Source organism: Homo sapiens, chromosome 17, assembly GCF_000001405.40.
Source record: "Homo sapiens chromosome 17, GRCh38.p14 Primary Assembly".
NCBI lineage: Eukaryota > Metazoa > Chordata > Mammalia > Primates > Hominidae > Homo > Homo sapiens.
The window spans coordinates 62,031,074-62,045,751 of record NC_000017.11 but is presented as its reverse complement, the minus strand read 5'-3'; the positions used below and the strand labels follow the sequence as shown (position 1 = coordinate 62,045,751).

General features: G+C 38.6%; 1 protein-coding gene across 4 annotated transcripts in view, besides 1 other annotated feature; it reads left to right on the top strand.

Annotated features, from left to right (window-relative positions):
• Window positions 1–14,678, top strand: part of MED13 (mediator complex subunit 13) — a 122,674-nt gene that overhangs the window by 19,527 nt on the left and 88,469 nt on the right. For 3 of the 4 annotated variants that reach the window (XM_011525551.3, NM_005121.3, XM_011525552.3), the window contains exons 4-6: window positions 10,144–10,289; window positions 11,768–11,965; window positions 14,114–14,308. In XM_011525551.3, the coding sequence (XP_011523853.1) occupies window positions 10,144–10,289; window positions 11,768–11,965; window positions 14,114–14,308 (539 nt within the window). The remainder of the gene's footprint in view (window positions 1–10,143; window positions 10,290–11,767; window positions 11,966–14,113; window positions 14,309–14,678) is intronic. The other variant, XM_011525553.4, reaches the window with a different exon arrangement.
• Window positions 8,440–8,625: a silencer, noted in NCBI's record as "fragment chr17:60114488-60114673 (GRCh37/hg19 assembly coordinates)". NCBI's record gives its function as "represses an EF-1alpha promoter that drives an FKBP-Casp9 reporter gene in an ReSE screen in K562 erythroleukemia cells {active_cell/tissue: K562}" and the evidence as "EXISTENCE:reporter gene assay evidence [ECO:0000049][PMID:32094911]".

Sequence of the window (14,678 nt, the reverse complement as noted above, 5' to 3'; positions counted from 1 at the left end):
TGACCAGTGTTTTCTTGAATAGTTTAGGTGTTTTCCTACATTGCTGGGGACTGGATCACATGACAGGCATTGAGTTTTCTAGTGAGCCCACAAGCAAATGGGTTGTAGTAAGTACCACTGACTTAATGTAGGTTTTAGTCTCTTCTATAAAAGATATTCTGAACTTGCCATGTTTGAGAGTGCATTTGAAAAAGATTATCTTGAATAAGAACTTTTTTTTTTTTTAAATAGAGACAGGGTCTTGCTCTGTGCCCAAGATGGATGGCAGTAGCGCAATCATAACTCATTGCAGCCACAAACTTCTGGGCCTAATTGGTTCTCCCACCTCAGCCTCCAGAGTAGCTGGGACTACAGGCACACACCAACCACGCCTGGCCAAGAACTTTCTTAAGATTGTGTTTGGTTAAGCTTTTTGTCATGTTGAATCTGTTGTAGCCATTTAGCTGAGTGTGCGGTAAAGTTTGTGTATTTAGCAAAAGTTTTAAATGCTTCTAGGAGGGTATACAGAATAGAAACATACTAGTAAAGAATTCTTTTTTTAGACAGCTAGTTCAGTATCTTACGTATATAGTGACATAGGAGGTTTTGTTAAGTGGCAGATGAGATTGTGTATAGGAGGGAAATAGTTAATAGGGAACATGTTTGATTTTAATACATACTTTAATCTTACCCCATTCCCTCAACTATATATAATTGATTTCTATGGAAAAAATATGTTGTTAAATCTTTTTTGATATATTTACTGTATGTAAAATAGTTATCTTTAATTCCAATTTTAAAAGGCAATATAGGCCAGATGTGGTGGCTCATGCCTGTAATCCCAGCACTTTGGGAGGCCAAGGCAGGCAGATCACTTGAGGTCAGGAGTTCGAGACTAGCCTGGCCAACATGGTGAAACCCTGTCTCTACTAAAAGTACAAAAATGAGCCAGGTATGGTGGCATGTGCCTGTAATTCCAGCTACTTGGGAGGCTGAGGCAGGAGAATCACTTAACCCGGGAGGTGGAGGTTGCAGTGAGCAGAGATCGTGCCACTGCACTCCAGCCTGGGTGACAAGAGTGAAACTCCATCTCAAAAAAGGCAATATAGAGTATTACATGTTATATATGTGTGTTTGTATGTCTATATTACATTATGTGTATACATATAGACATGTACATATAGGATATAATAAATCCTTGCTGGATATAACATAAAGAAAATAGGATTAAATATTTGGTTCAATATGTTCTAAGCCTTTGTATTAGAATAATTAGAGCCCTGGAATTAGTAGTAAAAAACTTAGTCCATAGAGAGTGATAAATTTTTGATTTTGTGGGATAAAGCAGTAAAAGTTCACAGGAAGGAAAGGATGGCTGTTGTTAATGGCCATTGTATTGGGCAGTGTAGATGTAGAACATTTTCATCATTGCAGAAAGTTATTTTTTTGGGTGGTATTGCTTACACAAGAACCTTTATATTTATAATTAAAACAGTACTTTTGGTGCTTCAATAAAGAAATTCATCGATTTTTTTTTTTTAAGGAAGTAAATGAAAGAATATGCTTTAAATTTCACCCATAAAGCTGTGTTTATTTTCTGCCATATGTATGGCTTTTACATTATCTCGTGCTCTCCAAAACTGATTAAAAATAGGCACCATGAGATGTAAGTCTCCCCTGAAAATGTATTATTAACCATTAGTAGCGTTAGGATGTCCTTTGGTTAGGTTTCTCACTGTCTCCGAAAAGGCAAATTTCTAGAGAAGCTAGGAGCTATTGCTGTTAGGTTTTTTATGGACTCATTTCCTCTCTTCCTGTCATCTAATGTACTGTCCAGTAGAAGTATAATGTGAGCCACATAGGTAATTTAAAATTTTCTACTAGGCACATTTAAAAAGCTAAAAAAAAACTAAATGTATAGGCAAAATTAATTGTAATATATTTTTTAATTCAGTAAGTCCAAAATAATATCATGTCAGCATATAATTAACTATGCAGAAGGTTTTAATGAAATAGTTTACTTTTTGTACTGCTTTTGAAATTAGGTGTGTGTGCTGTGCTTAGAGTATATCTCAGTTTGGATTGGCCACATTTTAAGTCACCAATAGTTATATGTGTGTATTGGCTATTGTATTTACAACACAGTTCTAGGGGTTTAAGCCCAGTTGAACTTGGTAGTGTTTATTAGTGAAAGGTACCTTCTCTGGTGGTCAGTGAACCCTTCTGGAATTGTATGCTAAATTGTGAGTATGCTTTAGAATCTCAAAGGCAAGAAGAATCCCGTACCTTGTATCAGTCAGGGTATGAACTCTCTGCTAAATTAGGTGTAGTTACTTCAGCAGACTGGATGTGCCTTTTTATTGTTTTCCCTGTAGCCTGTCTATAATGTTTTGTCCTTAATGTCTGTCATCAAGATTATTATGTATCATTTCTGAAATCTTAAATGATGATGTCACTAGAATTTGCATGGTCAATTTTCTACATTTTCATGCTTTCTAGAACGTTTATGAGAAAAATGCTAAGACTTCTCCTATTTTTCCTCCTTGTTGAGGTTTTCTTACAATAATTTTTCTTTCTTTCTTTCTTTCTTTTTTTTTTTTTTTTTTTTTTTTTTTTGGAGACAGGGTCTTGCTTTGTCTCCTAGGCCAGAGTACAGTGGTGTAATCTTGACTCACTCCAACCTCTGCCTCCTGGGCGCAAACAATTCTCCTGCCTCAGCCTCCCAAATACTCAGGACTTAGGAGTACACCACCACACCTGACTAAGTTTTGTAATTTAGGTAGAGATGGGGTTTCTCTGCTGGCCATGTTGACCAGGCTGGTCTCTAACTCCTAGCCTCAAGTGATCCTCCAGCCTCAGCCTCTCAAAGTACTGGGATTACAGGTGTGAGCCACCATGCCCAGCCTTTCTTACCGTAATTTCTTTCTATAATTCTTACTGTAGACTCTTACAAATCTGTCCAAGCTCATACAGCTATCAAGTGTTGGAGCTGCATTTTAGGCATGAAAAATATGAGGTAGATTATGGACCCCTATAGACCGATATGTCTCCTACACATGTATTTTTTTTAAGTTACAGGAAATAGTAAAAACCATAATACTTAAAAACAACAATAAAAAGCAGCATTTTGCAGAACACTTGAAGTGGTAAACCAGAATAATGTTGTTGCTAAGTTTTGTGGGGTTTTTTTGGTTTTTTTTTTTTTTTTTTTTGAGATGAAACCTTGCTCTGTCACCAGGCTGGAGTGCAGTGGCGCAATCTCGGCTCATTGCAACTGCCACCTCCCAGGTTCAAGCGATTCTCCTGCCTCAGCCTCCCGAGTAGCTGGGACTACAGGCGTGTGCCACCATGCCCAGCTAATTTTTATGTTTTTAGTAGAGTCGGGGTTTCACCGTGTTAGCCAGGATGGTCTTGATTTCTTGACCTCATGATCCACCCGCCTTGGCCTCCCAAAGTGTTGGGATTACAGGCATCAGCCCCCGTGCCTGGCCACTTTCTAAGTATTATTTACTGTATAATGTAAGTAATATGTTCACTGAGTGAGCAGAAATATGTACAGGATTCACAGGTAAGATGTTAACTTCTGGATTTTAGTATAGATCTTTTGTTCATGGAGCTATGTTAATAATACCTGATACTGGTATTATACCTGTAAATTTAAAAATTTAAAAGTTACTCTGAAGGCTGTAGAAATACAGATTAATGATTCCCAAACTTGTCTGGATGTGGGAATCACCTGGAGAGCTTACAAAAAATTATTGATGCCTGTGTCTTAACCTGGGACTGTAATCTGGGCTTTGGAAATTTTAGAAGATCCTAATGTAAGACAAGTTTGGAAACTTTTGAATTCACGGAATAAAAATAATCTCAGAATTAAGATGGCTAGGGGAGGCTGGGCACAGTGGCTCATGCTTGTAATCCCTGCACTTTGGGAGGCCAAGACAGGAGGATTGCTTAAGCTCAGGAGTTCAAGACCAGCCTGGACAACATAGTGAGACCTCATCTCTACAAAAAATAAATTCTAAAAATTATCTGGACATAGTGGCTCACACCTGTAGTCCCACCTAACTTCGTTGGCTGAGGCAGGAAAATCGCTTGAGCTCAGGAGGTGGAAGCTGCAGTGAATTCTGATCATGCCACTGCACTCCAGCCTGAGTGACAGAGCAAGGCCCTGTCTCAAAGGAAAAAAAAAAAGATGACTACAGTTTCTTTTTATTGTGGTAAAATGTACGTAACAAAACTTAATAATTTTTCAGTGTACAGTTCAGTGGCATTAAGTACATTCACATTGTTAACCATCACCACTATCTATCTGCAGAACTTTTTCATCATCCCAAACTGAATGTGTACTCATAAAATTTTATGAGTGGCAGCTCTTCAATTTTTCTTTTCTTTTCTTCTGCTTCAGATAACCACCATTCTACTTTGTCTGTCTAGAAACTTGACTATTGCAGGTACCTCATATGAGTGGAATCATGTAGTATTTGTCCTTTTTTGTCTGGGTTATTTCAGTAAGCATAAAATCTTCAAGATTCATTTATGAAGCATGTGATAGAATTCCCCTTATTTTTAAGGCTGAATAGTATTCCGTTGTATGTATATACTACATTTTGTTTATGTATTAATCTGTAAATGGTATTTGGGTTGTTTTCACCTTTTGGCTATTGTGAATAATGCTGCTATGAACATTGGTCTGCATATCTCTCATCAAGTCCCTGCTTTAAGTTCCTTTGGGTGTCTACCCAGAAGTGGAATTGCTGGATCATATGGTAATTTGAAGTACAATTTTTGGAGGAATTTCCATACTGCTTTCCATGGTGGCTGCACTATTTTACATTCCCAAAGGCAATGCAGAGGAGTGCCATTTTCTCCACATCCTCATCAACACTTGTTATTTCCTGTTTTTTTTAAAGCTATTTTTATGGGTGTGAGGTGGTATCTTACTGTGTTTTTGGTTTGCATTTCCCTAATGATTAGTGATGTGTTGAGCATGTTATGTGTTTATCGGCCATTTTTATATCATTTTTGGAGAAACGACTTTTGAAGTCTTTTGCCCATTTTTTTAATTGGTTGATAGGGTGTTTAGAGTTTGAAGTCAGCATTCTCTTTACTAGTATTATGATTTTAACACAAGCCATTTAACCTCTTTGTGCCTCGGATTCTCTACTGGCAAATGGGATATCATTTTTCTGTAGCTGCTTAATACAAATGCTAGAAATAGGTTTGATGTGGCACTGCCTAATCTAGCATACATATGGAATTGTTGCTGTTAGAGCAGCCAGCTTTAATCTATAAGCACGTCTTCATTTTCTGTTTTAGAAATAATCTTTTGATTAATTTCAGTACTTAATTTGAGGAACTTTTTTTTCCACGATGGAAGATTGTTCAAGTTTCATTTATAAAATTCTGCCTCATTCATAACTTTTTGTTTTAGATATTGTAGTGTGAGCTCATGGAGAGCAACAGTATTCTCTGCAATCCTTTATAGTAACTAATAATACTTCGAATTGTTATTGTGGTGACATGTTTTTGTTTTAACTCACTTTTCTGAGTGTTAAATACCAAAAATGTTTGATGGGATGATACAAATAACATTTCTCCTTGGAAAAAAAGCAAGTCTGAATTTACTATGTTAGTATTTTCTAATTGTTTTATAATATTCTCTGACTAGAATATTGCCTTTAATATAAGGATTTCGGAGATTTGGGTGTGGTGGTGCACACCTGTAGTTCAAGCTACTTAAGAGGCTGCGGCAGGAGGATCACTTGAGGTTGGGAGTTTGAGGCTGTAGTGCTCCGCGACTGTGCCTGTGAATAGCCACTGCACTCCATCCTGGGTAACATAGGGAGACTGCCATCTCTTAAAAAAAATTTCAGGCCGGCACAGTGGCTCACGCCTGTAATTCCAGCACTTTGGGATGCCAAGGTGGGCGGATCACCTGAGGTTAGGTGTTCAAGACCAGTCTGGCCAATACATGGCAAAACCCCGTCTCTACTAAAAGAATACAAAAAAAACTAGCCGGACGCAGTGGCAGGCGCCTGTCATCCCAGCTACTTGGGAGGCTGAGGCAAGAGAATTGCTTGAACCCGGGAGGCGGAGTTTGCAGTGAGCCAAGATCACGCCATTGCACTCCAACCTTGGTGACAAGAGTGAAACTGTCTCAAAAAAAAAAAAAAAAAAAAAAATCTTGGCTGGGTGCGGTGGTTCATGCCTGTAATTTATAGCACTTTGGGAGGCCGAGGTAGGCAGATCACTTGAGGTCAGGAGTTTGAGACCAGCCTGGCCAACATGGTAAAACCCTGTCTCTACTAAAAATACAAAAATTAGCTGGGCATGGTCATGGGTGCCTGTAATCCCAGCTACTCAGGAGGCAGAGGAAGAAGAATCGCTTTAACCTGGGAAGTGGAGGCTGCAGTGAGCCAAGGTCGCACCACTGCACTCCATCTTGGGCAACAGAGCAAGAAACTTGTATCACATATTTAGAATATTGTTTCCCTCCAGTATCACATACAAACTTGGTTTATTTTAAACCACTGAATGTTACAATAAGATCAGACTATTGTATATTGGGATTACATGCTAGCAGTATAGGAGGTAGTGATTCTTTGATCATAGACTGCTGGGATTGAGTGTTGTTAGTAAATAGGGTAGTGGCAGATAAACAGTGGGAGCTGAGACCATTGGTTACATGTTTTGTACTTTGGAATACTGGATTGCTACAAAGACTCCTTGGAGACCAATTTATCCCTTTATATCAAGAAGCCAAATTTTATTTTCTTATTTAACAGATAAAATGGGGCCAGATGAGGTTAGCTTATGCTTGTAATCTCAGCACTTTGGGAGGCCAAGGTGGAGGGATTGCTTGAGGCCAAGAGTTTGAGGCCAGCCTGGGCAACATAGTGAGCCCCCCCGCCCCTGCCATCCCTAGGGGGAAAAAAAAAATTAGCTGGGTGTGGTAGCGCACACCTGTAGTCCCAGCTACTCAAGAGGGTGAGATGGGAGGATTTCTTGAGTCCAGTAGTTTGAGGCTGCAGCAAGCTACGATTGTATCACTGCACTCCAGTGAGAACCTGTCTCTAAACCATAAAATTAAAAAATGAAGTGGGTAAGTGCTCATTGGAAAGACTGTTAGGGAACTTGAAAGATGACTTTTATGATTTTATACATACTAGAGTAAACTTATTTTCCTAAATAATATTTAAGATAGGTCAAATTAATGTATATTTAAACATTTCCCATATTATAATATTTTCAGGAAAATAGATTTTTAAAATGTTAAAAATGCTTTTAAAATAATTTTTAAAATCTTTTAAAATGTTTTTAAAATAATTTTTAAAATTATTTTAAAATGCTTTGTCATGAGAAAAATCCATTTTAAATATCTTTTTTTGTTTGGAGACTGGAGGGCAGTGGTGTCATCATAGCTCACTGCACCCTCAACCTCTCAGGCTCAGATGTTCCTTCTACCTCAGCCTCAGCCTCTCGAGTAGCTGGGACCACAGGCATGCACCACACCCCACCTAGCTAATTTTTAATTTTTTTGTGGAGATGGGGTCTTATGCTGCCTAGGCTGGTCCCAAACCCCTGGGCTCAAGCCCAACTCCTCTTGCCTCAGCCTCCCAAGTGCTGAGATAACAGGCATGACTGGCTGTTTTTAAATTCTCTTATTTAATATTTCATGTATGAAATGAAACAGTTGAAAACTGTGTTTTTAAGAACTATACTCCACTGATTAAAGGAACAGTAGATAAAAGGTTATAAAATTCAGGTCTCCTAGCCGCTGTGTCTTTTTTTTTTTTTTTTTTTTTTTTTTTTTTGAGATGAAGTCTCACTCTGTTGCCCAGGCTGAAGTGCAGTGGCAAGATCTCAACCCACTGCAATCTCTGCCTCCCTGGGTTCAAGTGATTCTCCTGCCTCAGCCTCCTTAGTAACTGGGATTACAGGTGTGTGCCACCACACCCAGCTAATTTTTGTATTTTTAGTAGAAACAGAATTTCACCTTGTTGGCCAGGCTGGTCTCAAATTGCTGGGCTCAAACGATCCACCTGCCTTGCCCTCCCGAAGTGCTGGGATTACAGGCCTCTTTGTCTTTTTTTTTTTTTTTTTGAGATGGAGTCTTGCTCTGTCACCCAGGCTGGAGTGCAGTGGTGTGATCTTGGCTCACTGCAACCTGCGTCTCCTGGGTTCAAGCGATTCTCATGCCTCAGCCTCCTGAGTAGCTGGGATTACAGGCGCATACCACTGCACCTCCGGCTAATTTTTGTATTTTTAGTAGAGATGGGGTTTTGCCAAGTTGGCCAGGCTGGTCTCAAACTCCTGACCTCAGGTGATCCACCCACCTCAGCCTCCCAAAGTGCTGGGATTACAGGCATGAGCCACCACTCCCAGCCATTGTCACTGCTTTCTTAACAAGAATGATAAGGTTTTTGTTTGTTTTTTGTTTTAGTTATATTATTTTTAGTTTTTCTGTCAGTTACATTAATTTTTATTTTATTTTATTTTTATTTACTTATATGTTTTTTGAGACAGTCTTACTCTGTCGCCCATGCTGTAATGCAGTGGTGTGATCTTGGCTCACTGCAGCCTCCACATCGTGGATTCAAGCGATTCGCATGCCTCAGCCTCCCAAGTAGCTGGGATTACAGGCACCTGCCACTGCGCCTGGCTAATTTTTTGTATTTTTAGGGAGATGGAGGTTTCACCATGTTGGCCATGCTGGTCTTGAACTCTTGGCCTTAAGTGATCTGCCTGCCTTCCAAGTGCTGGGATTACAGATGTGAGCCACTGTGCCTGGCCTAAAAAAAATTTATTTCGATTAAAAGCATTTTTTAGACTAGTCACATATGCAGTAGTGGAAAGAGGGGAAAGAGTAGAACAAGGAGTTTGATCTGCAACTAACTGAACAGTCAACTGAGGTAACTCACTACCTTCAGACTAGCCTCTGTCAGTTACATTTGTAACTTGAATAACATGCTTAAATTTCTATTTCTTGTTCTATCAAGTTTAGACATTTTGTATTGACTCCATATGTATAAGATACAGAAATTCTTAGCTCTGTATTGCTTTTTGCCTCTTTTCTACCATCTATTTTCCCACTTCTGTTAACTCTAGCATTACTTTTACTATAATTTAATTTTAATTCACTATGTTCTGCTTATCCAGAAGAAATTCAAGAGGGCTTATACATATATAAAACAGGTTCTGAGTTGATTAATATCATAGTTTAAAAAACTTTTAAGGATGAATTCTTAAGATAAATGTGTGGAGAAGGAATAAAAAGAGTTTATTTTCTTAGTGTACACTCTTATCCTCCTCTGCGCAACTTGACCCTTCTAAATTGTATCTTGAAGATACCTCTGATGTCCTTGGGAACTTTTATTTTCCAACCTGTATACCCAGCCATACCTGAATTTCATTAAGGTGTACTGTTTTGCATATATTCTTGATTCTAGGATGCCTTCAACTGTAAGACCCATTATTGCTTTAAAATAATGTTATTGGTTGGGAGGGGATTGCATTAAATGATTAGTCCAATTAATTAATAAAGTGAGAAAACATTTATAGTTTCTTATATAGAGGGGAAAATAGGCAAAAATAAAAATTAAGTCACTGTTAATTCTGTTGTCCGCCTTTATTTTCTTTATCCAAATAAAACTTTTTTTTTCTTTAAAAAAAAAAAAAAGAGCTGGGTACAGTGGCCCACATCTGTAGTCCCAGCTGCTTTGGAGGCTGAGGTCAGAGGATCCCTTGAGCCCAGGAGTTACAAGCCACCCTGGGCAACATACTGAGACCCTCTCTCTTTCTTTAAAAAAGAAAAAGAAAAAAAAAATTGACCCTACTATTTTGGTAGCCTATCCCTTTCCAATAAACCTACTCTTCTATTTTAACTTATTTTTGTGGCTATATAATAATTCTATGTGTGAATGTACCTAACTCGTTTAACTGGTTCCTGTATTTGCAGCCTTTCCTACTATAAACAGTGTTGTAAAGAACATTTCTTATAGCTAAGTCTTTGCTCATATCCATGATTTTTTTTCTTCTGATGAAGTAGAATTTTTGGGCAAAATAGGGTATGCATTTTTGCATACTTCCTAATAAAGAAAAGCAAGTTAACATTTTTGGCCACTAGTCATCACTAAGATAAAACTTTTTCTTCTTTTTTAGTGAACACTTGTCCTGCTCCTTCACCTTTTTCTTGCATGGAGACAGCAATGTTTGTACCAGTGTGGAAATTAACCAACATCAACCTGTATACCTTCTCAGTGAAGAGCATATCACCCTTGCTCAACAGTCTAATAGCCCATTTCAAGGTAGATTATTTTATTATATTAGGTATTTGATCTTTTATTGAAAGATCCTTATTTGACTTCATAATTTTACATTTGGGGATTGATGGAATTCCCCCTGATCTTTAGCCTAATGATGATTTTGATGTCATTTACTTTTTCCTTCCCCATTACAGTGTTAAGTCAGTGAAATAAATTTTTAAATACAGGTATTACCAAAAAATTCTTGACCGTGAATGGTGAAGTAGTTTAAAGTGTTCTTTTAGATAGCATAATGGATTTATATGTGTTAATGTTTTCAAGGTTATCTTGTATGTCAGGTCATATAAGCCATATTTTGTTTGTTTGTTTTTGTTTTTGTTTTTTGAGACGGAGTTTCGCTCTGTCGCCCAGGCTGGTGTGCAGTGGCATGATCTTGGTTCACTGCAACCTCCACCTCCCGGATTCAAGCAATTCTCCTACCTCAGCCTCCTGAGTAGCTGGGGTTACAGGCGCGTTCCACCAAGCCTGGCCAATTTTTGTATTTTTTTTAGTAGAACTGGGTTTCATCTTGTTGGCCAGGCTGGTCTTGAACACCTGACCTCAAGTGGTCCACCTGCCTCGGCCTCCCAAAGTGCTGGGATTATAGGTGTGAGTGAGCCACCATGTCCGGCCAGAGCCATGTGTAACATAGCTACAAAGGGACTTTTGATACTATTTATACTATGAAAAAAGTTGAATTCTAGAAGAAATATTTTATAAGATTGCTGAATTGCCTCTAAGGCTTGGCAGTGTGTTCTTATTTTAACTTTAAACCTAATATTTGCTTTTTAAAGTTTACATGGCAGTACATTATAAATATTTAGATTTATATATCTATATTGTTTTTCCTCAGATTGCTTTTTCTTAGAATGCTTTTTCTTAGTGGGAGTCAAAGTAAATTGAAGGATACACAAATATTCCCAGCTTCTGTTAAAAATCTTAAGAGTTTGGGCAGACAATTTTTTTTTTTTTTTTTTTTGAGATGAAGTCTCCCTCTGTTGCCCAGGCTAGAGTGCAGTGGTGCCATCTTGGCTCACTGCAGCCTCTGCCTCCCGGGTTCAAGCAGTTCTCCAGCCTCAGCCTCCCGAGTAGCTGGGATTGCAGGCGTGTGCAACCACACCCAGCTAATTTTTTTTGTATTTTATTAGAGACAGGGTTTCACCATGTTGACCAGGCTGGTCTTGAACTCCTGACCTCAGGTGATCCACCCGCCTCAGCCTCCCAAAATGCTGGGATTACAGGCGTGAACCACTATGCCCAGCCTGGGCAGACAAATTTTTAACAGTTTATATAATAAACTCAGTGTCATACTTTATCTTCACAGTAACGAAGTATAATAAGTTGATTTTTCTCTGGAATGGTTATTACTGGTTTCCTTTTCTTTTTTATAATTGCACGATTATTTGCCACATTTTTCACTGTGTTCTTATTTGGTAAAACAGTCTTTTGTTACTTATTTGATGTCTGCTTTGGGTTTCTAGTTATCTTATGCCCATTTGGACTAAATGGCACTCTCACAGGACAGGCATTCAAGATGTCTGATTCAGCTACAAAAAAATTAATTGGTGAATGGAAACAGTTCTATCCTATCTCATGTTGCTTGAAGGAGATGTCTGAAGAAAAACAGGAAGATATGGATTGGGAAGATGATTCTTTAGCTGCAGTAGAAGTTCTTGTTGGTATGGATCCTGAGTATTATTCCTAAGGGGAAAATGCATGATTGTATGTGTTAGTTATATTTTGCTGAATAACAAACAAGTCTAATAACTCAGTGGCTTTCAACACCAAAGATTTATTCCTTAATTTCCTGCCCACATTACTTAAGGGCTGCATCTTAGCTGGTTTGGCTCCATGTATCTGCTCATTCTGTAACCTAGGTTAAATGAATATCCCAGTAGCTAGGACATGCTGTTCTTATGAGAACAGAAGAATAATAGGGACTGAACCTAACCATGTAAGTGTACTCAGAGCTTCTGCTGGGATATGGTGTATGTTACATCTGCTCACATTGCATTAGACAAAGCTAGTTAAATGGCCAAGCCAAAGTCATTGGGGCAGGGAAATATATTCTGTCTAGAGGGAAGCATGCTTAGGATGGGACAGTTAATTGTGAATGAATTAATATTTGGAGGCTGAAAAGTTGACAACCTGTGTTGTATGATGTTTTAACATTTGGTAAAACTACCACTTCCAATAACTTAAGAGACAGAAAATGTAACTAAAGAATTTATGACTTTGGCATGCTCTGCCTGCCAAAAGGGTCAGATTTTTTTATATTTTTTTATTATTTATTTAATTTATTTTTATTTTTTTGAGGTGGAGTCTCGCTCTGTTGCCCAGGCTGGAGTGCAATGGCGCGATCTTGGCTCACTGCAACCTCCTCCGCCTCCCAGGTTCAAGCGCTTTTCGTGCCTCAGTCTTGAGAGTAGCTGGGATTACAGGCGCATGCCACCATGCCCACCTAATTTTTGTAATGCTAGTAGAGATGGGGTTTTGCCGTGTTGGCCAGGCTGGTCTCAAATTCCTGACCTCAAGTGATCCACCTACCTTGGCCTCCCAGAGTGCTGGGATTACTGGCGTGAGCCACCGTGCCCAGCCTAAAAGGGTCAGATTTTTTCAGATTGGCTGTATTCTCTATGTCCTCTCATTCAGGGACCCAGGTTAACAAAGTACCCACATCTGGGACATGTTAATCTCATAGCAGAAGACAGAAGTGAGAGAAGCTGCACTGACCCTGCAGGCACATTTAAAGCTTCTGTTAGGATGTGGCTTATATCACATGCTTACATTCCAGAGCAAGTCACACAGCCTGACAATGGAGTGAAGACATATACTCTACCTCAGAGAGGCATGAGAGGAGGCATGGAGAAAGTATAATTTAGGAGATAATTGGAATTAGAATCTACCATATTGTATTTAAGGGAATCTAATGGTAATGTTAGACGTGAAGATCACCTTATTTCATCTTTTTTTTTTTTTTTTTTTTCCTGAGACGGAATCTCGCTCTGTCGCTGCTCAGGCTGGAGTGCAATGGCGTGATCTCTGCTCACTGCAACCTCCACCTCCCGGGCTCAAGCAGTTCTCCTGCCTCACCCTCCCAAGTAGCTGGGATTACAGGTGCCTGCCACCACGCCCAGCTAAATTTTGTATTTTTAGTAGAGATGGGGTTTAGCCATGTTGGCCAGGTTGCTCTTGAACTCCTGACTTCAAATGACCCACCTGCCTCGGCCTCCCAAAGTGCTAGGATTACAGGTGTGAGCTACCACTCCTGGCCTGTTTTTTTTGTTGTTGTTTGTCTGTTTTTTTTTTAAGAAAAAGATTACCAGTGCTCACTTTAAATAAACCCATTACTACTAGAGCAGTTGTGACAGAAACAGAAAAAACACACATTTTTTAGGCTTTTAAAATAGAGGCATATAGAAAAGTAAGTAGAAAATGGTTCATAATTCTAGTGTCCAGATTACCTTTGTTAAACTTAAACAATAAAATTGAAAAAGTAATACACATTAAGTTGGTCAGAAGTGCACATAAAGATTTAAAAAACACATTTCTAGAAATCTAAAAAAAGGAAAGCTGCCTTTTTCCAAATCTCTCTCAGCAAAGATAACCACCACTGACAGCTTATTGTGGTTTATTGTGGTTTCTTCTAAAAAAGAGAAAAAAAAAAAAGAAAAGAAAAACTTATGCCAAAGAAGCTTATATTTATAAAAATGTATTTTTATTTGTATAAATGTGATACCTACTTTTCCATTATAGTACTTTTGAGTGAAACTAATTCACTAGTCACAAAGGTAATTGGTTTTCCTGTCCCATTTTTTTCCTTTCAGCTGGTGTCCGAATGATCTACCCAGCATGCTTTGTTCTAGTCCCTCAGTCAGACATTCCTACTCCTAGCCCTGTGGGATCCACTCACTGTTCATCTTCTTGCTTGGGTGTCCACCAAGTGCCTGCTTCCACAAGAGATCCTGCTATGTCTTCGGTTACGCTTACACCACCTACGTCTCCTGAGGAAGTCCAAACAGGTATAGCAGTAATTTGTCTCATCAGCTCTGGTAATTTGTTATTTTGTGTACAGTAAGTACTTAAGAAATAATTTATTTTGAAATAGTTTCAAACTTCTTGAGAATTTACAAGTGTAGTACAAGTAATTTCCTTAGCCATATTTCCAAACTGTTATTATTTACTCCATCACCCTGTCTGTATGATGTACATTCATTATCATTGGTCTTTTTCTGAACCATTTGAGAACAACCTACAGACATGATGTCCCATCACTCCTGTGTACTCAGTGTGTTTCCCAGAATTAAGGACACTCTCCTATACAACTATTACTCGATCCTCTTAGTCAGAAAATCAGCATTGATACACTGCCATCCAGTTTGCATTCCCTGT